Source organism: Homo sapiens, chromosome 3 (assembly GCF_000001405.40).
Source record: "Homo sapiens chromosome 3, GRCh38.p14 Primary Assembly".
Lineage (NCBI taxonomy): Eukaryota > Metazoa > Chordata > Mammalia > Primates > Hominidae > Homo > Homo sapiens.
In genome coordinates this window covers 40,380,386-40,401,853 of record NC_000003.12, presented here as the reverse complement: position 1 = coordinate 40,401,853, position 21,468 = coordinate 40,380,386, and the positions used below count along the sequence as shown (strand labels likewise).

Here is a 21,468-nt window from a genome sequence, read left to right as displayed (position 1 = left end):
GCTGATAATACTCCATTTCAGGGGTTGGCACCCCATGGGCCAAATCCAGTATACCACCTTTTTTTTGTACAGCCTGTGAGCTAAGAGAGTTTTTACATTTTTTAATGGTGGGAAAAAATTTACAGGAAGAATTACATTTCATGATATGAGAATTATATGAAATTCAAAATTTCAGTGTCCATAAATAAAGCTTTACTGGAACAGAGCCATGTCCATTTGTTTACATATTGTCATTCTCTGTCTGCCTCGCCATCAATACACAGGACTACTCCTTATCACTGCTGGAAGACAGCTATCCATGTGTCCCTTGTGTTTCCCTCCACAGCAAAAGGCAGGCATGCTCACTGCCCATTATAAATGCTTCCCTAAAATCCCAGATTTCCTTTCCTATGACAGAACCTATTGCATGAGTGCATACTATCTGTCCGTCTTTCCATCATCCTGGGCAAATTGGGAATCAGAACCAGTATAAGAAAATGCTGATACTCTGGGCTACTCCTGTGAGTAACAAATTGTCCTTTATTTCTGACCCAGGAGTCTTGTGTCTTCCAGCACCCATGAAAATATGGCAGGGTAAAATCTCAGACCATTCACAGTTCTTGACGCCACCCCTTTCCATGTATACAGATAAAACACTGAGGCCCAGAGAAGGGAAGTGACTAGAGCAAGTTTATTCCACTGATGAGTAGCAGCACTAGCACACGATCTCCTATTTCCTGACTCCCAGTCCAATGCTCATTCCCTGCCTCCAAGCAACATCTCAGGACCTCTCCAGGCCTCCAAAACACTTAGAACTCTACCTTGCTGCCCATTGTGACTCCCAGACACACTTCAGTCCTTACCTTTCACACTACATTTGAAGGTTTGACTGACCACTCCGGTATTATTCTCTTTTTCTGCTGGCCATTGATACACGTAGACTGTGGTTCTTGAAGACCCGGCATCCAGCACAATACCATACTGAATAAAAAGGGAAAGGGAGAGTCAGAATGGGCGGGACTCCTCTGAGGACTGCTTTCTCAGTGGGCCACTGAGAACCCTGAGTACCTTAATCCACACTGCTTCGCTTAGGGAAGGGCTAATCAATAAGAAAAATTATTTTCTCCAAACCAATTTTGTCTCCTTGGATTGTGAGGGAAGGGAATGAGGAAAGGTAGGGCAGGTTCTAGGAAATAATTATCACTTTGCAATGCATTAGAATCACCTGGAGAGCTTAAAAAATCCCCCAATGCCAAGTCTACACCCCATACCAATTAAATCAGAATCTCTGAGAGTGGACTCAGGCATCAACAGGTTTTAAAAGTCCCAGGTGAGTCCAACACTCAGCCAAGGTTGAGAATTGTACTTCATGATGGATCTTGCATACAATTGAGTTGCCTGATTCTTCCTCATTCAGACCTCTGGGGAGAGGTACAAAAGCCATCTTCGTCTCAGACGGAAAATGAATAGTCACCTGGATGCCCTCTATTTCCAAACTTCTAGGCTTATCAGTCTAAAAATAAACAACCAAAATAAAAGCATAGGAAGAAGTTATAAGAAGTTTTTCACAGGGTAGAGGCATTTCCTTTTTTCTTTTTTTTTTTTTTTTTGAGATGCAGTTCACTCTTATCACCCAGGCTGGATTGCAGTGGCACGATCTCAGCTCACTGCAAACTCTGCCTCCCGGGTTCAAGTGATTCTCCTGCCTCAGCCTCCCAAGTAGCTGGGATTACAGGTGCCCACCACCATCCCTGGCTAATTTTTGTGTTTTTAGTAGAGATAAGGTTTCACCATGTTGGGCAGGCTGGTCTCAAACTCCCGACCTCAAGTGATCCACCCGCCTCGGCCTCCCAAAGTGCTGGGATTACAGGCGTGAGCCACCGTGCCCGGCTGAGGCATGTTAATACCTGTATCAGTGCTCAGAATTAAAGTATTCATAATTAAGGAGAAAAAAAGCAAAATAAAAAAATAATATTGACATATTGATCACACTTTGGCAATGTGTATGTCAACAAATGAACAGGCAGGTGTTGCTGGGCAGTGCTGGGGCTGGCTGTGTGCAGGAGAGTAGGCTGAGAGTCCTGGACCAATTTGTCCAACTTGAGCAGGCACTAGAAAGTTTCACCTGCAGGTTTGGCCCAGCCCAGGCTCTGGACCAAACCTGACCAGGAAAGAGCATGTATTAGTAGCCTATAGAATTTGGAATTAGCAATGCATACCTAAGCCCCGTATCTGTTTGTGCTCAGAGTCATCCTAGGGCATCCAGAGGCCTTCAGGGTGGCCTGAAGTCTCCCACCGCACCACCTTTGGGTTAACCTAGCCTGTCCCACAGAAGATGATGAAGTTGGGTCTGGAGGCAAGCTGACTCAGATGGATTCTCGATTTTATGATGCTGGACTGGGTAAGTTGCCTAACCTTTCTGGGTTCCCTCATCTTTAGAGGACTTACTTGCAGAAGTAAATAGAAGGCTATATGCCTAATGCTTAATGGCTACTCATAAATACAGGCTATTAGCATATATAGAAAAGCCAGTCAAGCAAAAGAAACAAATAAAATCACAAAACAAGAAAAACAGAAAAGAAAACAAAGCATCCCTCAAATCCAACTATTGCGTTAGCCCTTGTTGTATCTTTTCTAACAATATATGTATATATGTATCTGGATATATACATATATCATTGTATATATGCAGTGGTGCCACCAACGACTCACTGCAGCCTCAACTTCTCAGGCTCAATCGATTCTCAGCCCCAGCTTTTCGAGTAGCTGGGATTACAGGTGTGCACCATCACACCTGGCTAATTTTTATATTTTTTGTAAAGACAGGGTTTCGCCATGTTTCCCAGCCTGGTCTCGAACTCCTGGGCTCAAGTGATTCACCCACCTCCGCCTCCCAAAATGCTGCTGGTATTACAGGGATGAGCTACCGCATCTGGCCATGCAATGCTCTTTTCTTAAAAGTATATCATGAACATGTCTTCCTGACAGTAGAAACAGATTGATATCACCATTTTCATACATTCATTGTATTCACTTTTAGGTACAGAGTAATTTAACCAATTTCCTGATCCTATACATTTAGGAGGTTTCCAACTTTTTATTATCTATATTACAAATGCTTGTTTTGTTTGAAATGGGACCATATTTTTAAAAAGTTGCTCCAGCTCCTGAATCATAGCCTCTCCATTATTTTGAAATAGAACATCTGTGTTCACTGGTATGTGAACTTGGACAGCCTCTTAATCTCAGCCCTTCAGTATGATGAATGTTGATCAGGATCCTGACCTGACATCCCTCATGGGGAACAAGGGTGGCATTGTTCATAATCTGTCACAGGCAGCGACTCACAGGGAGATTAAAGTACAGGTTGAAACTGAAGGCAAGAAGGAAACCAGGCACTAAACTAAAGAGGTCCAGGCCTCTATATTCTTGGTCTGCTTTCTTTCCTCCCCCCTGCTCCTGACCTGATCACCACCACTCCAGCCCGCCCTGCCACGCCTGGTGCTGAACCATAAAACAAGAGGAGAGAGAGAATAGGAGAAAAACTGTCACCTTCCTTTCCTCAAATCTTTATTCCAACCCTTCAAAAAGGGTGCATGTTTTTCCTGTGTTTCTGAAGCTCAGGGCTGCTGGGCCAAGATCAGAGAGAAGAGTATCCATTCTCATTTGTAACTCCAACTGGGATCCAGCTTTCACCAGGGTCTGCAGCAGCCAGACTTTGCTCTGTGAGACTGGAGAAATGGCTGTCCCTCCGGCACCTGCTGATATAGGCCCACCTCTACCGACTCACACGGATCTAGCCCTACCATCATTCACTGACATTTTCAAAAGTGGGAAAAATGGTCTTTAACCAGTTTTCAGAGCTCTTTTGCCTAAACAGTGAAACTCAGTGTGATTCTTTTGGGGGAGAGGGGATGGGAATGAATTTCAGTTCAGCTGGCAAGGTGATGTTCGGATAAAAAGTAGTAAGTAATCCTCTGTCTAATGCAGTGTCAGAAAAAACCATGGCTCAAATGTGGATCTGAAGACACAGTGGATTAACTGAAAGGAAGCAGTCTTTCAGTTTAGAAATGTATAGAATAAGGAAACTGGTTAAATTACTCTGTATCTAACAGTGAATGCAATTAATGTTAACTGAAAGGGCCAGTCTCCTTGGTCCAACACTTAAGGATTGTGTGATCTGTCTAAAGCAATAGCGAAAGCAGAAGCATAAGGTCAACTTTCTTAGATTTGTTTATTATTATTATCATTATTACTATGATAATAAATAGTAGTAGTAATAAGCCTTGTCCTGCACTTATTCTAGGCACTGCAGAAAGTGCTTTGTGTTATTGCCTGTATAAGACATATGTTATCATATCATATCATATCATATCATACCATTCGACACATGGGCAAACCGAGGCTTACAGTAGTAAGTAAATGCCCAAGATCACAGACCTGGGATCAAGCCTGAGTCTAACGGACTCTAAAACCTGTACTCATAGCCATGATGTTTTCACTGAGCTCCAAGGAAACCAAGTGTAATGGCATGACTGTTCAGTAATCATAGCCATGATGTTTTCACTGAGCTCCAAGGAAACCAAGTGTAATGGCATGACTGTTCAGTAATCAGGTGCATTGCAGACTTTCTTATTTAAACAAAAAGTCCCTTGAAAGTAAAGTCTTAGTTAAGGGGTGTGCAGATCTGGCTGGAGGAGAGGACCCATTTGCATAAGGAGACCGAGGCTTTCTGAAAAAAAAAAAAAAAAAAAAGAAACTAATTATCCAACTCTTACTCTCCAAGAAGTAGACCAGGGTGGGCTACAAGGCACCAGAAATCCAGGCTGATGAGCAAGGCTCAATGAGGGTTAAAAGGGAATGATTTCAACACAGACTGGGCCAGTGGTTTTGCTTTGGAGAGTAATGGCTGAGCATGGGAGTGTAGACTAAAATGGCTTATGATCTTGGACCCAGTATGGGGAACTAATGTGGGCTGAGCAGGTCACAGTGGAAAAGCCCATCCTTAAAACCTTTAGACTGTGCAGAACCCATCTTCAACAGTGACATCACATGGCTGCAAGAGGCAGTACAATAGTATTGATCATTGGACTGAGAAGCTCTAAAGTTCTTGGATGGTTATGATTAGGGGTAGGGAGGGTGAAGCCTCAAGAGGAAGGTATTGGACTTCATGATGATAAAGCGGGGGACTGGGGGCCGAGTGAAAATTACAAGTGATGGCATCATGTTTACTCTTCAAGCTTGTGGAGCAAGTCAGACCAGTAACACAAGAGACTCAGACATTTTCGCCCCTTGACTGCATTTTAATAGTTCTGACCATAACCTCACATAAACCAGGGTTAGGCAAGCCAAGGTTAGATTTAATAGCCAGATACGACCTTGCATGAGAGTCCTCTGTAACATTTCAGAGCCCTCCAGACAGGCTGTTGTAGAGCTGGCCCTTTAGAACCAACTGTCAGCTGCACACGAAAGCAAAACAGGGCTCATGGTATAAAAAAATAAACATAACAAATAATTTAAAATCCCTCATATTTGCTCAACTTCATCACCTGCAATCCTCTTCAAAACAAAAAAAGAGAGATCTCTCCATATCCTGAGAAAAACTGCATGTGGAACACTCTCTTCCAAAGCTGTCATTCCGTTTCTGGTTCAACTGGCCCAGAACATCTGTCTTTTCTCACATTTAATCCACCCAATTAAGCAGAATGGACCTTCCGAGCTCATCTTCCTGTGTTTTACAATTTCCTGTCCCTTGCAATGGTGGCTAGGGTCTGTTACCAAGATTCAGAAGAGATTTAAAATCCCCTCTTTGAACTGCCTGCTGATTGGTGGAGGGTGTGTCTCCTGGTTCCTCCAAACCCTTGTTTAAGGCCACTGTTGTCTGTTCTCTTTTCTTTCCTTTACACCAGTTCTGCTATTTTCAATCTGTGTAACTATGGGAAGCTATTTGCCCTTTCTTTTCCTGTTTTCTCATCTGCAATACAGGGATAATAACAATATTATTTACATGGAGTAGTCACTGACAATTCTCTGCCCACATCCCCTCAGGCCTTACTACTGTGATGTAGAACTATCCATCTTCCACCTGCCTGAAGGCTTAACTAGTGGCCCGAGTCTACCTGATCACAAAATATGCCAGAAGGACTAGAGAGTTAACATCCAGGGAGCAGCCTCTCAGCTAATGACTGATGGAAGCTGGTGAATAAATATGCCCTTGACTGGGATATCTGGGAGGCACATGCCTGTATGCCCCTTGATATGGGACAACTTTGAGTTCTCTGTACCAGCTCACAGGGTCTCAAGCAGGACTGAGTCCCAGTTGCCCACAGTGCCGACCTGCTGCATAGCAGGCCCTCTCTTGGCTGCCTGACCCATCTCAGTTCCCTAGTCCCTCACCAGTGTTTCCTGGGATCATCCCCAGATGATCTACTTGCACGTATGTCTTTGACTTGGAGAGCCCAACCTAAGACAGTAGCATTCAACATGTGTGGTTTTCTCCTTCAACAGTGCCCTCTAGACTGCCCAGGGATCTATTTTTATCTACTCATTTTACTAGTCTTCCATCTGATTCCTCCATGTCTCTCCATTTTGAACAGAGGACTTGCCTGTTACTGTCCAGAACAAGTAGAAGCCATCAGCTGGCAACTGCCTTAACCAGCCCATTTCTAACATTTGTAGGATTAGAGACAAAATTTTATGAATAGAGGCTTCTGCCCTGTCCCTTTCCCAAACCTGTTCTCACAGAATAAAGAGCCCATGCACCTGTGTGTGGACAGTTCAGACCACACAGCTATGCTCTGTTTACACTCCCTGTAAGCAGCTGCCTCTTGGCCACCCCTCAGACCATTGGTGATGTCCACCTTCTGGAGGTCCACGAAGACCCTAGATTCTGAAGTCTTGGGCACCACAGTGTGTTCTAGAAGGGGAAACATGGGCTCTGGGTAAACACATTCGTTTGGGTCATAGAGAGAGATAAGCCTGAAGTGCAACTAGAGCTGGTCCTTCTGAAATGTGGGGCCCAGGGCAGGCAGCCCAGCTATCAGGGTCTAAGGGTGGTACTAGGCTTAACTCCTCTCCTTCAATTCAACAAACCTTCCCACATCTGCATGCATCCTCCCTACCTTTCCATCCTGTGCAAAGCAGGAAGTGTTCTCTTATCTGAGGCCAATCCCTTCCCTCCATTTGGGATCTCCATTCAGAACTCAGGGTCAGGGAGAAGTGGGAGGCAGTGAAGAGAGCCCTGGCCTTGGGAACAGAAGGGACCAGGTTTCAGTTCTGGACCTGTCATTCACTGACCAAACCTGTATTTTCTCACTTTCAAAATGGCAGTCATGGTGCTCGCTTTGTCCACCTTCTATGGTTGGCATAAGAACTAAGTGATGTAATGAGGGAAAAGCGCTGACTTAACTGAATAGCACTATACAAAGTGTAAAGAGATATTACTCTTAGTTGCGGCTGGGCACGGTGGCTCATGCTTATAATCCCACCACTCTGGGAGGCTGAGGTGGGTGGATCACCTGAGGTCAGGAGTTCAAGACTAGCCTGGTCAACACGGTGAAACCCTATCTGTACTAAAAATACAGCAAGAAAAAATTAGCTGGGCATGGTGGTGGGCACCTGTGATCCTAGCTACTTGGGAGGCTGAGGCAGTAGAATCACTTGAACTGTGGAGGCAGAGGTTGGGGCGAGCCAAGATCATGCCACTGCATTCCAGCCTAGGTGACGGAGCACGACTCCGTCTCACAAAATAATAACAATAAAATAAAAAATAAAAAATATATTACTCTTAGTTGCAGTTCCTTTTTTTTTTTTTTTTTTTTTTTTTTGAGACAGAGTCTCGCTCTGTTGCCCAGGCTGGAATGCAGTTGGCACTATCTCAGCTCACTGCAACCTCCACCTCCCGGGTTCACGCCATTCTCCTGCCTCAGCCTCCTGAGTAGCTAGCTGGGACTACAGGCGCCCACCACCACGCCCAGCTAATTTTTTGTATTTTTAGTAGAGATGGGGTTTCACCACGTTAGCCAGGACGGTCTCAATCTCCTGACCTCGTGATCCGCCCGCCTCGGCCTCCCAAAGTCCCAATTTTATATACAGTAGTTTGTAGAAGGCAGTGCCTGGAGCTTGGGAAAACACCTTCTTTTAGGCCTCAGCTAATATCTTTGGACAACTGGGTAATTTGCTTTCTTCTCATTATTGGGTGATTGCATAAGGTTTTTTTTTAATTTTTAATTCACATTATTCATGAGGGCTGAGATTCTTAAATAAAATATCCTATCAAGGAACCAAATGCTATTATATTATCTAATGGAGATTTTACTCTAATCTTTTAGAAAAGCTGCCTTAGAATGTTAGCTCAAACCCATCCTTAGAGTCCAAAACAATATTAGTTTCTTTTCTTTTAAAAATGTCTATGTATTTCAAATATTACCTTTGAATAGTCACTAACAGCAGGAAGATATGGAAAAGACTTGTGAGGTCAAGTGTAAATGTTAAATGAGATTCAAAGAACATGGCTGAATTACCTGGTCCCTATGGCACAGCTAAGAAGGGTTTGTACATTCTTAATGAGTCAAAAAACAAAGAAGAGTTATAAAACAGAGACTATAAATGGACCTCAAAGCCTAAAATATATACTATTTGACCCTTTATGAGAAATGTTTGCTGACCCCTACCCAAAATGATTGAAGGACTCATCAACTTGCTTCATCTTTCCCTTGTCAGCCTCTCATGGAATCACCTCCTGTCTCCAAGGGCACCCTCAGAGCCAAGCCTGGGGATATATTATGATTCTGAGCCTAAAGATCATTTGGGGATGGACTTGTTGAGAACTAAGAGGGGCCTCTGGGACTAAGCACAAGGTCCTGAGTAATTTTTTTTTTTTTTTTGCCGGGGGGGTGTTGTTGAGGGAAGTGTTGGAAGGAACACAGCACATGTTCTAGACTCAAGAGTAGCAGCACAAATAGAGCTCAAGGAGACCTTCTCAAGTTCTTGATTTTTTGTTCACTCAGCCTAGGCTAGAAGAGGTGCCTGGGTCTCCTGGTCTTGACTTCTTTTTTCCTTTTTTTGGAAAAATTTCTTTTTGGTAGAGATGGAGTCTCTCTATATTGCCCAGGTTGGTCTTGAACTCCTGGGCTCAAGCAATCCTTCTTCCTCGGCCTCTCGAAGTGCTGGAATTACAGACATGAGCCACTGTGCTCAGCCTCGGTCTTTACTCATTATCAGGGTTGTGTGGTTGGGAGAACAGATAAACTGGTCAAAATGGAAAGTGCACTAACCGGTAAATTTTTTTTTTTTTTTTTTGATAGAGATGGGTTTCACCATGTTGCCCAAGCTAGTCTCGAACTCGTGGACTCAAGCAATCCACCTGCCTCAGCCTCCCAAAGTGCCTTACAGGCGTGAGCCACCGCACCTGGCTGAACTGGTAAATCTTTGATAGCTATCTGCAACTCTTGGTTACAAATTTTAGCTTTGAAGTCAGAAGTCAAAGCAAGACTACACAGTCCTTGGAGAAGGTGTCAGTCACTACCCTCAATTTGTAGCCTCAAATATCACAAACCCAGCATGTCCAGACCTTCTCCCTTGCGTCTTACACTAACTTCTCCTGGCTTCAGCCAGAGATGGGGGGAAAGGATTTTCTGCTCTTCTAACTCATGGTTTTGGAATAATTGATTTCTTCCCCTTTATGCTCATTTCTTCCCTTTGTTGCCAGTCCCTTCACACTTACCTTCAGTCCTGGAGGGAGGACCTCTTGCTTGTGGATCTGGATGACAGTGATACTCACAAGTACCACAATACTCACAAGCAAGACCACCAAGGCAATGATGGTTGGAGTTCGGTAGAGGGCCTTGAGGCCTAAAATGAGAAGACCCAGAAGACACTTGAGGGGGAGGTAAAAACCAGGCACTGGTATTCTTTGTAGAATTGATGGACTGGCCCCATAATCAGGTGCATAAACCACCTTCTCTGGTGTTAGCGAGACCCACACTTCTAAGATGGAGTAGCAAATAAGCTCCCCTTCTCCCCAGTTTTGGGGAAGCACAAACAATACCTATTTGCCCTTCCTCACAAATTGTGTACTAAAACAGTGTTGCAGGGAGGGTATGCATGGTCTAGTTTTCTGATATTTTGGTTATCCCTGAGATGAATTACAATAACATTTGTTTTACTTTTTTCTTTTTCTTTTCTTTTTTTTTTTTTTTGAGATGGAGTCTCACTCTATCGCCCAGGTTAGAGTGCTGTGCCGTGATCTTGGCTCACTGCAGCTTCCAACTCCCAGGTTCAAGCGATTCTTCTGCCTCTGCCTCCTGAATAGCTGAGATTACAGGTGCCTGCTACCACGGCAGCCAATTTTTGTATTTTTAATAGAGACAGGGTTTCACCATGTTGGCCAGGCTGGTCTCGAACTCCTGGGCTCAAGTGATCTGCCTGTCTCGGTCTCCCAAAGTGCTGGGATTACAGGTGTGAGCCACCACGCCCAGCTAACATTAGTTTTAATGGAGATTCAAAAAATCTATTTTTAAAAAATTAAACCAGGTGATAGAATATTTCACTTAAAAATAATCTCATAGAATATTTCATTTAAAAATAATCTCAGTTAAAGAAAAAGAAATTAGGCTGGGCAGATGGCTGACCCCTGTAATCCCAGCACTTTGGGAGGCCGAAGTGGGTGGATCACTTGAGGTCAGGAGTTCAAGACCAGCCTGGCCAATATGGTGAAACCATGTCTCTACCAAGAAATACAAAAATTAGCCAGGTGTGATCATATGCGCCTGTAGTCCCAGCTACTCGGGAGACTGAGGTGGGAGAATTGCTTGAAGCCAGGAGGTGGAGGTTGCAATGAGTTGAGATCAAACTACTACACACCAGCCTGGGTGACAGAATAAGACCTTGTCTCAATAAAATAAAATAAAAATAAAAAAATTAGTACTATACTATACTGAAATGATTTCATTTATTTGAAGTTCAAAAGTAGGAAGGTAACAGGAATCAGAATAGTGATTGCCAGGGGGCAGAAGTTGGGGCAGGGATTCACTGAGAAGGAATATGTGGGCACTTTCTTGGGGTAATGGCAATGCGCTATACAGAGTGTGGAGTATATGGATGTGTGCATTTGTCAAAACTCATCAAACCTTTCAAAGTCCTTTGGAGAAAACTTGAAAATGAAAGCAAATCAGTGTCTTAGGTATAATTTCCTTTTAAAAAAACATTATAAACTTATAAATTGCCCTTACTATTCTAAAAACATACTTTTAGAAGGCAAGAACACCCAACTTAGGGGCACGACTTAAGATCTATCCATTTCACTGAATAGAAGTTATACCTAATTTTTTAAAAAGATAAAAAGACATTCAATGAAAATACTGACTAAATAATAATCTTGGGCTGGGTATAGTGGCTTATGCCTGTAATCCCAGCTTTGGGAGGCTGAGATGGGAAGATGCTTGAGGCCAGGCGTTAGATGCCAGCCTGAGCCACATAGTGAGACCCCGTCTCTACAAAAAATGAAAAAAATCAACTGTACATGTGGTGCACACCTGTAGCCCAAGCTACTCAGGAGGTTGAAGTTGGAGGATCCTTTGATCCCAGGAGCTCAAGGCTGCAGTGAGCTGTGCCGCTATACTCCAGCCTGGTGACAGAGTGAGACCTTGTCTCTAAAAAAATAATAATAATAGTCTTGGTAAAACTATTGGGACATCAACATAAATGACAACCAAATGGTTGAAATATGATGAACACTAATAGAAAGATCACTAGATTCATCGAATTCCAATATATATCTAATCAATTGGCTATCTAAATGTAAATTAATTAAAATAAAAAAATGCAGTCTCTCAATCTTACTAGCCACATTTCCAGTGTTCAATAACCACATGTGGGCTAGTGGCTACTATATTGGACAGTGCAGCCATATAACATTTTCATCATTATAGGAAGATCAATTGAACAGCAATTGGATAGATCCTGTCTTATTCCAGAACATTATTCCTAGATCATTATAACCTATGCTTTACCCCTCCATTATTTCTGTAAGCCATTTTCCCAGAAGAATAACAGGGCATGTCTATGCGCCCACGATATAATTAGATTCAGCCCCCAAATTCAGTCACATCACAACATTTGCTACAGGAGGGCAGTCACGCAGTAGGTCTTCATGGCTCAGAACAGCTAACTCTTTCCATCTCAACTGATTCCCCTGCAGTGTAGCTGCAGTCACAGACACTTCTTGGTGTCAAAGTTGGTCACTTAACACCTTAATCCTCCTACCTTGTCATTGAAAGTGTAAACTGGTACAGCATCAATGGAGGGCAACTTGTCAATATTTATGAAAACTGCAAATAAGCATGCCATCTGACTCACAATCACTCTTTTGGGAAGTTATCCCACAGAACTAGCTCCACATGTGTAAAATGACTTAGACACAAGGTTACTCATTACAGAATTGTGGGTAATAGCAATGGAAAGGAGAGCCAACTGCCATGGAGTTGACCTGCAGAGCATGTAAAGAGGTCCTGTATCACTTTTCTGTGATTCCAAATAAAAGTACAGGAACCAGTTAATCCACAGAGGCAAACTTTTGCATTAGCTTTCAAAGAATGCATTTGTCAGTGTTAGTTATAGAAGTTTAAGGGATTTTTTCCCTCTAACAAAATGGGGTAGAAATTTAATCTGCCAAGTTAAACTTGTCCTTTGGAAGGAATGTAACAGGTTAGTCTGTATGAGTGACGTTACAATCTGTGTTAACATTTCAAAGTGTTTTGGGGGAAAACCTAAAGATCAAAGGAAAACAGCTCCTCAAGTGCAATGTCCCTTTACAAAAATAAAAGTTCATATAGATTGCCCTTACTATCCTAAAATCATATCCTTTTGGAAGACAAGAATACCCAATTTAGGGGCATGACTAAAGAATGTCTATCCATGGGGGAGGAGTGTGTGATATGTATGCAGTTTCCTGACCACAGCTACGTGGCTGGCCTCCTAAGTCTTCTGTGTTTCAGCAGTTTTCAAGTAAAAAGCTATGATTACCTTAAGCAAACTCTTGTCCTTGCAGAAAAGCTTATTACAAAGCAAAATGGATGAGACCAGGTCTTACTCATTTAGGAAATGCAGCCTAGAGCTGTGCTGTCATTAGGGCTGGACAAACATGGTAATTGCAAGGTACCTACCTGAGCTTGGAGAAGCCAGAGCCTTCTGGGCTTCCACATGAGCAACTCCAAAAAGTGCTCTAGAGGCAGGCGGGGCAAGCTTAGAAGTGTGTGTGTGTGTGTGTGTGTGTGTGTGTGTGTGTGTGTCTGTGTGTGTGTGCCTTCCAGTGTGAGAAAATCCTGCACTTGTGCCTGCAGTATCAACCATAACAACACTGACTCACAGTGAGGGGTGGGGGTGTTGTAGGCACTGTGCCAGCAACATTTGGATGGGAATACAGGAAAGATCCAAGTACTGTACAATTGATCACAAAATCAACAATACAGTATTCTAAAGCAAACGTTACACACAGCTAGCTAAGGGAAACCACAAGGGCCAAATTAATGGATTATACAAACCGGAAAAACCATTTAAGTGAAACATGCATGTTAGTCCTTGTTTTGTGTGGCTTTGATGAAAAGCATTACTTTTATTTGAGGAATGCCGGTGTTGAAACCCAGCTGAGTACTGAGTCTCAAACCAATAAAGTTAAACAATCATTTGCAGGGGATATGGATGAAAAACTGTAGGCCGAAGCTGGGGTTCTCTTGCGATTTGGCAAAACCACGCTTGCTACCTGCTGAGAGATACTAACCTGCTTGCTCACATGGTTGGCGGGTCAGCACAGTGAACATCTTTTCTCCTAGCTGCAGGTGAGAGAATACAGGATGTCAGTAAGTCCACCGCCCCGGCCTCACAAGTTTAAAGAACGAGCCCAGGTTAAGACAAAACCCATTTTACTTCCTCCAAATCAAAACCTCATCCCGGGAAAGGTAAGCCGAACCCCAGAACTTCAGAGACAGCCCCAAAGCTGGAGCTTAAATTTCATGTCATCTCCCCAAATGAAAGGAAATGAAAAATGGATTTGCTGAAACTTCAAACTGAAAAGGTTTTCCGAAAAAAGGTCTTTTTCTGCAGATTGTTCCACCTGTACACACACCCAAGAGAGAACAAATCTTCCCCCTATTATTAACATTCACAAAGCTGAGGCGGGGCTTTTTTTCAGAACATGAGCAAGGAAGGTTTTTGTGTGTTCATGGATCGCGAGCCTGGAGCCTCTCTAAAGCCCCGGGAAGGGAGTCTTTAGCTGCTGGCTGGAAATTGCAAAGGGATGTCGGGGCCCTGGGATCCAGCCCCCACCAGGATCTGGGGTCACCTCTCTGGACTGCGTCTCTGCATAGCCGCAGGCATCTAAGCGCCCAGCACATCTGCGGATCCATGCAGGCTGTCGGTAAAGACGCGCCCACCCGTCGTGGGCATGACAGGGACCACCTCCCAGCCGCCCAAGGATTTGGGGCTACCGTGTTTCAGTCTCTTCCTCTGGCCCTCTGAGGAAATCCGATTTTGTTTCTTTGCCTCCCAACTCTCAGTCTCACGCAGCACCCCCGACTCCTTCCTCGGCAGCTCAGGCGCCGGGTCCCCTGATCTTACCTGTGCGGAGCCGATTCGGAGAAGGCGACTAGCGCTGCCGCAGAGGCGGCCCGCGGCCAGCGCTAAGGAGGTGTCAGCTCAGACGCCGGGAGGCGGCGCCGGGTATAGCGGGGCGGGGGCGGGGCGGCCTCGGCCTGGGACCGCCCCCCCCGTCCGTGTCAAGGCCAAGTACCTCTTCACCTTCTTTTCTGATTGCTCTCACCTTCACACCCAGCCCTCGATGGAAGGGGAAGGGAGAGAGAGCGCGCCTCTTGCCAAAAGACCGGCCCTGCCTGCCCAGAGAGCCTTCTGTCCCCCTCCAGGTCGAAGCCAAACAGCACTTCACCTTTCCTCTTTCAGTTCCCTCCACACTCACCTGTACCTGAAGTCGGAGAGGAGGGAGCCAGGCCTTGCCCTGAGAACCCACCGGAGCCTATGTGGGCGAGGGGGAAGGGAGGTGTCTATTATCTGCCTCCTTCTTGCATCTGTGTCAAGACCAAGAACCTTTTGATCTGTCTTCTAGTTACCTCCATTGTCACCCCAACCCTAGGTGGAGGGAAAATGGGGACAAGGCCAGGCAGGGACTGGGCACTCTGTGGGTGTGCATGACCTTATGTGGTCCCCCGGTGGGTGGCTCCTGTGCTCCGTCTCTCCACGGGGTGGAGTAGAGTCAAACACCTGTAATGTTGGGAGTGAGGCCAGTAGGCAGGCTGGCCCCTAGGTCACTTGGGCCTAAAGCACAAAGTATGGCAGGCACATTCCCTTTCACACTTAGCAGAACTGCCTTGGCCATGCCCAGGGCCATTCTTGCTGTTTACTGAGCAATGCTCTGCCCTACCCCATTTAATATGGATGTCATAAGGCCAAAAACTCAAGACAAGTACAGCCCGGAAGAGGCAAAACAGAAAAGATAACAAAAAGGCAGCATGTGGGCTGCCGTGATCCAAACACCCCAGGAGTCTGTCTCAGTGTACAGCAGCAGGCAGCCTCCCGGCTCCTCTGAGTGACCCCAGAGACCCTTGGAGTGATCCCAGCAAGAGGCCTAAGCAGGCCCTGTTTGACCATCCCTCCTTATGGTTCCTGCATGTCTGGAAGGAAGAGCTGAGTCCCTGGCTATACCCTGCCATAGCCTGCTTTCTCCTAGAAATCCACTAATTTTCTGTCCTGTGCAGGTGGGGCCAAAGCCCCTAAGACAAGAAGTCCTTAAGATAGGAATGCCCCTGCTTTGATACCTCTGAGCCCAGAGAGGTGGGCCCCAAGCCTGAGTTATGTGTGTGTGCCTGTGTGTGTGTGTGTGTGTGTGTGTGTGTGTGTGTGTGTGTGCCCGCGCGCAAGAGCACCATGGTCATTCACCCAGAGTTGGATAGAGGTGGACCCCATTGGGGGATTGGGACAGGGTCTGCACTGGGGGTGTCAGACATTCAGTGAATACTTGCTGAATTAAAAGACTTGTTTTCTTTGAAAGCTGTGGGACAATGAAACATAAGGCATATGGCTGGCAGCTGGGGGTCCGTCTGCACCCAGGGGGCTGTAAGTACACAAACAGCTGCTGGCAGTGCACCCGGACCTGAGCTCAGTTAGATAGCCCCAGTGGGTGAATGACTAACCTTAGCATCCCCAGTGACTTCCCAGGGGCTGGGAAAAGGTTTCCAGGCCTAATGGGCCTTGAAAGGCAGTTAGTGCTAGTGTATAAAAATAACAGAGATCAGTCCATGCCAGCTTTCCTCTCTGCTTGCATCAACCTACAGACCTTGTAAGTGTGAGCATCAGCCTCCTTTGAGAGCCCTGTAGTCTCCAATTCTCCTTTTATTTTTCCAAGCTTTTCTGGAAACTCTGCTCCAGGCACTGTGTCAAACTCCTTTGCAGCTTCCAAAGTAGACCTAGTCATTCAAAGGCATTTCCTCATCCACCTTCCACATGCAAGAACACACACACACACAGACACACACACACACTCCTTTGTGAGTTTTCCTGATTATAAAATAATACAGATTTGCCCACCAGCTATCAAAACATATTGTAAAGCCACAGTAATAAAAACAGCCTGGCTTGGGCACAGGAATATACTGAGAGATCTAAAGAACAAAAAAGATAGGCCACAACAGACTATTGGATATAGGATTATAAGATAAAGAACAGGTTGAAATAACATATTATTCAATAACTGGTATTGAAACAACTGGCTCATTTGGAAAAGGATTCTAATTACTCATCACCCACAAAAATAGATTTTAGGTGGTTTAAAAATTTAAATGTATAAAATAATTTGACATACTAAAAAATGTAGAAGAACATTTTTATCATCCTTGGGAAAGAACAGTCTCTTCTACTATGCAGTCAAAGCAGGAAGAGAAATAAAGTCAACAAATTTGAATCCATGAAAATGAAAAATGACTGAATAGAAAGACACCACCCACTGCAACCCCCCCCCACCAAAAAAAAGATAAATTCTCAGGAAATACCTAAGAATGTGACAGTAAAGAGTTTAAAACCGTAAGATATACTAAAGTCTATAGAAAAATATGAATATCTGAAATAGAAAATGGGCAAGTCACATGCATTGGCCAATTTACAAAAGAAATATGAATGGCTGACTAACATGGCAGAGATGCTTAATCTCATTATTTACCAAAAATTGTCAACTAAAACTTTGGTATATTTAAACAAGATTAAAAAAAAACTGATTAGACTTGATTAGCTTAGCAAAGTTTAAAAAGATCTAGGCCAGGCACAGGGGCTCACGCATGTAATCCTAGCACTCTGGGAGGCCGAGGTCAGCTGATCACCTGAGGTCATGAGTTCAAGGCCAGCCTGGCCAAAATGGTGAAACCCCGTCTCTACCAAAAAATACAAAAATTAGCCAGGTGTGGTGGTGCATGCCTGTCCCAGCTACTCAGGAGGCTGAGGCACGAGAATTACTTGAATCTGGGAGGTGGAGGCTGCAGTGAGCTGAGATGCTGAGATCATGCCACTGCACTCTAGCCTGGACTATAGAGCAAGACCCTGTCTCAAAAAAAAATAGCAATAATAATCAGTGGTGCTTGTGTTGGAGAAGGTGCCAGGAAACAGGCCCTCTTGAAGCATCTGATGCGTGCCATGTCCTCCCACTTCTCTAGACAATTTTGCTGGTTCCTGCTCCTTTCCTGGGAGTTTCTCAAGACTCAGTCTCCAGGATTATTTTCTTCTCATTCTGTATTCTTTTCCTAGGTAATCTCATCCATGCCTACGTCTTCTGTTTTATTCACAGAAGCTCTCAAATACAGGGTTCAGGCTTCCCCTCTTGATCTGTAGACCTAGAGAATTGTGTTTTTCATCTTTCAAGTGTCATATAGGCACCTCACATTTACAGGGTTTCAAGCAGAGCTCCTTATCTTCCCCTACCAAACCATCAACTCCTCAAGCATTTCTCATCTCGGCACTCCCCACTCATCCAGGTGAGCAAGCCAGAAACCTGAGGGTTGCCTTTGATAGTCTTTCCCCCATTATACACGATCAATCAGTCACTAATTACTGCTGATTTTAGCCTCTTAATCGTCTCTGCAATATGTACTTCCTTCTCTCTCAGCCACCATCTTGGTCTGAGCCAGGATTTCTCAGTTGGAGCACTATTGATATTTCAGGTCAGATGATTGTTGAGGGAACTGCCCTGTATATTGTAGGATGTTTAGTAGCATCCTTGACCTTTCCCTACTAGTTGCCAGTAACATCCTCCCACACATGGTGTGACAACCAAGAATGTCTCAAGACATTGCCAAGTGTCCTCAGAGGAGTAAAATTTCCCTGGTGAGAACCACTGGTCTAAGCTACCATGCACACTTTTCTGGATCTTGGCAACGGTCTCACACATCTCTCTGTGTCCATTTTCTTCCTCTCTGATCCATTTTCCCAAGCCAACAGGCCCCATCTCTTCAAAACCCAGATCTCTCTGTGTCAAAACTCTCTGTAAAACACTCTTCTATGCTGTCCATTTCTTAGTGGATTCACAATCAGATTCTCAATGTGACCTGGAAGGCCCTGCAAGGTATATTCTCTATCTCTCTTTCCAGTCTCTATTAACCCATACTACTTCTTACTTCATGCTCTGAAGACAAACCAGCCTTCTTTCAGTTTTTCAAATATATCATGTTTACTCCTGCCATAGGACCTTTGTACATTATTTTACTAATTAGCACTTGTTTATACTTTTTTTCTCACTTCAGTCATTTCACTGATACTTCCCCGGCATCCCCTAATCTGGATCATACATCCAAACTGGGTCAAGTCCCTAAATTATGTGCTTTTAAAGCAGGCATTCCTTTCTTTCAGCTAGAGTTTCATTACAGTCGTTGTTGAGCAAATGACCCCTGTTGCTTATCACCAAAGCAGCAGTCCCAGGATGTTAACTTACTGTATGGTTTGGAGATGTCCATGTCACCAAGAAAGATGATTCACACAGGCACTGGATGGAAAACACTTTACTCATATAGAGAAGAGATGGAACAGGATTAGCTTCAGTGATGACTGTGTGCCCCCATGGCAGTGGGTCTTGACCTCTAGCTGATGCAGGGAGATGGAATGCATACACTGCTCTGTTGCTGCAGGTGAAGATCCTCAACCCATCCCCCTGGGGCCAGAACTATAGAAAGCTGGAGGTGCACTTGATGGCCATTGACCCATGCGCTTAAGAACAAAGAAGTACACGTGAAACCCGGAACGGGGAAAGTTATTACAAAGCAGAGATGTGCCTAGCACAGGCTATGATGACTCTTTATCTCTGTGCAAGAAAATGTTCCAGGCCCAAGGCTGCTCTTATGTAACGATGCAGGGGGTGAGAAGCTGTGCACAACTGCCTTTCATAACAGGAATTCTCTCGTTAGTCTTTCTCTGTCCACTAGACAGTAAACCACGTGCAAGCAGAAATCATGCTTTTCTTACATCACTTTTTGCATTCTCAGTGCTTAGCACTGTTAACTGTCTAGTGAGCACTCAGTAAATATGTGTTGAGTGAATAGGATGCTCTTTTATAGATTAAGAATATTAACCATTTTACTACCTTATATGATAAATACTTTTCTCCAGTTATCTATTTAAGACTCAACATTTTACAAGTGACTGCTATCTCTCTGATTGTATGTTGAGGCTTGTAGTATTGGAGATAATTCATAGCTAACTATAGACTAGAGGGACAACCACGTTATCAGAGAATGTTATACTGGTAGTTAGGAAACCTGGCTTGAGTCTCAACTCTTCTAATTACCAGCAGATGTGCGATCTTAGGCATATCTGTAGACCTCTAGGATCCTCAATTTTTTCATCTGTGAAATGAAGGCATTAGATGAATCAGACAGGCTGTGATTCCATTATTTTTGAAAGCACAAGGCTAGAGGTATATATATCATTAACACAAAGGGAATAGTTGGAGTTTGGGGAGAAAGTAGAGATGAACAGGAGTAAAGGGCTAAGAGTGGAGCCTTGGGATGGAAGTTAGACTGCCAGAAGTCATGAAGAGCAGATGAGGAGGAAATGGAGCAGGTGTGTGTGTGTGTGTGCCTGTTTGTGTGCCCATGTGTGCATGTGTCCCACAGAACCCTCTTTTCTGCCCCCTTCAAAGCAGACCTCACCCTCCCCATTTTAGCCAAACTTAAGTTCTTCTGAAATTTATTCTTCATTTTTCTTGATGCACCTTGTTGGCTCAGCAAATTTAACAAGCACAAGGAACAAATGATTTTGCTCTAAATTTATGGTCTTGTAATGTTTTTGTGGATGGAGAGTTGTAGACAAAGAAGATTGTGTCCAACTAAAATTTCCAAAAAAATTGTATAAGTCTGAGTTCTCCAGAGAAAGTGAATCGTATATCTGTATATATGTAAATAGATTTATTATAACAAATTGGCTTGTGTGGTTACAGAGACCGAAAAGCCCAAGGATCTGCAGTAAGCAAACTGGAAACCCAGGAGAGCCCAGGATATAGTTGTAATTTGAGGTTGAAGCCCTGAAAACCAGGAGAGCTGATGGCGTAAGTTTCAGTCTTAGCCCAAGCCAAAAGGCAGGAGATGACCAGCGTCTCAGCTAGAAGACAGCAGGCAGACAGTGAATTCTCCCTTATTCCACCTTTTAAAAAGTATTTATTTATTTTTTAGAGACAGGATCTCACTCTCTTGCCCAGGCTGGAGTGCAGTGGCACAACCATAGCTCACTGCAACCTTGAACTCGTGAGCTCAAACTCCTGGCCTCCTCCCTCAGCCTCCTGAGTAGCTGGGACCACAAGTGTGTACCACCATGCCCAGTTAATTTAAAAAAATTTTTTTTTGGTAGGGATGCTATCTTGCTATGTTGCCCAGGCTGGCCTTGAACCCCTGGCCTCAAGCAACCCTCCTGCCTCAGCCTCCCAAAGCACTGGGATTACAGACATGAGCCACTGTACCTGGCTTATTCTGACTTTTTGTTCTATTCAAACCGTCATAGGATTGGATGATGTGTACCCACACTGGGGAGGGCAAACTCCTTTACTCAAGCTACTGATTCAAATGTTAATCTTACAGAAACAACATCACAGACACACTCAGAATAATGTTTAACCAAATATCTTACCCCCTGCCTCAGTCTAGTCAACTTGATATGTAAAATTAACCATCATAAAATCCAATTGCTTTTGAAAAAAATTTGTGATTCTGGCCCTAGATTCAGGTCTTGTCTGGGTGGTATTATATAGTAGGGCAAACTCTTCCTTGCAATAGAAGTTCTGAGCTAGGAAAAGCCTCATCCAAACTTGACTTTGTGGACAACATCCAGGAGGACTGACAAATATGCTCAAGAGGCCCGTGTATAAAGGAGAAAAAGCAAATCTGGAACAAGATCCAGTGAAATTAAAAACTAACAGCAATGTGTGATTATGGGCTATCCAAAGGCTCAGAAGAC

The 21,468-nt window shown here is 44.1% G+C and overlaps 1 protein-coding gene and 1 long non-coding RNA gene across 5 annotated transcripts in view, besides 1 other annotated feature; one reads left to right on the top strand and one right to left on the bottom strand.

The window, feature by feature from the left end:
- ENTPD3-AS1 (ENTPD3, EIF1B and MYRIP antisense RNA 1) overlaps positions 1-10,903 on the top strand; it is a 62,358-nt gene extending 51,455 nt beyond the window's left edge. Inside the window, exons 3-4 of the long non-coding RNA NR_040100.1 lie at positions 2,226-2,380; positions 9,285-10,903. This is a non-coding gene — a long non-coding RNA (ENTPD3, EIF1B and MYRIP antisense RNA 1). The remainder of the gene's footprint in view (positions 1-2,225; positions 2,381-9,284) is intronic.
- ENTPD3 (ectonucleoside triphosphate diphosphohydrolase 3) overlaps positions 1-14,670 on the bottom strand; it is a 41,561-nt gene extending 26,891 nt beyond the window's left edge. For 3 of the 4 annotated variants that reach the window (NM_001248.4, NM_001291961.2, XM_011534266.4), the window contains exons 1-4: positions 14,593-14,670; positions 13,757-13,808; positions 9,704-9,831; positions 843-960 (exon numbers count right to left, since the gene is read on the bottom strand). In NM_001248.4, coding sequence (NP_001239.2) covers positions 843-960; positions 9,704-9,831; positions 13,757-13,796 — 286 coding nt within the window. In that variant the 5' untranslated portion in view covers positions 13,797-13,808; positions 14,593-14,670. Of the gene's footprint in view, positions 1-842; positions 961-9,703; positions 9,832-13,756; positions 13,809-14,462 lie in introns of all 4 variants that reach the window. The other variant, NM_001291960.2, reaches the window with a different exon arrangement.
- Positions 14,650-14,749: a silencer, noted in NCBI's record as "silent region_14231". NCBI's record gives its function as "represses an Ori minimal core promoter by ATAC-STARR-seq in GM12878 lymphoblastoid cells {active_cell/tissue: GM12878}" and the evidence as "EXISTENCE:reporter gene assay evidence [ECO:0000049][PMID:35858748]".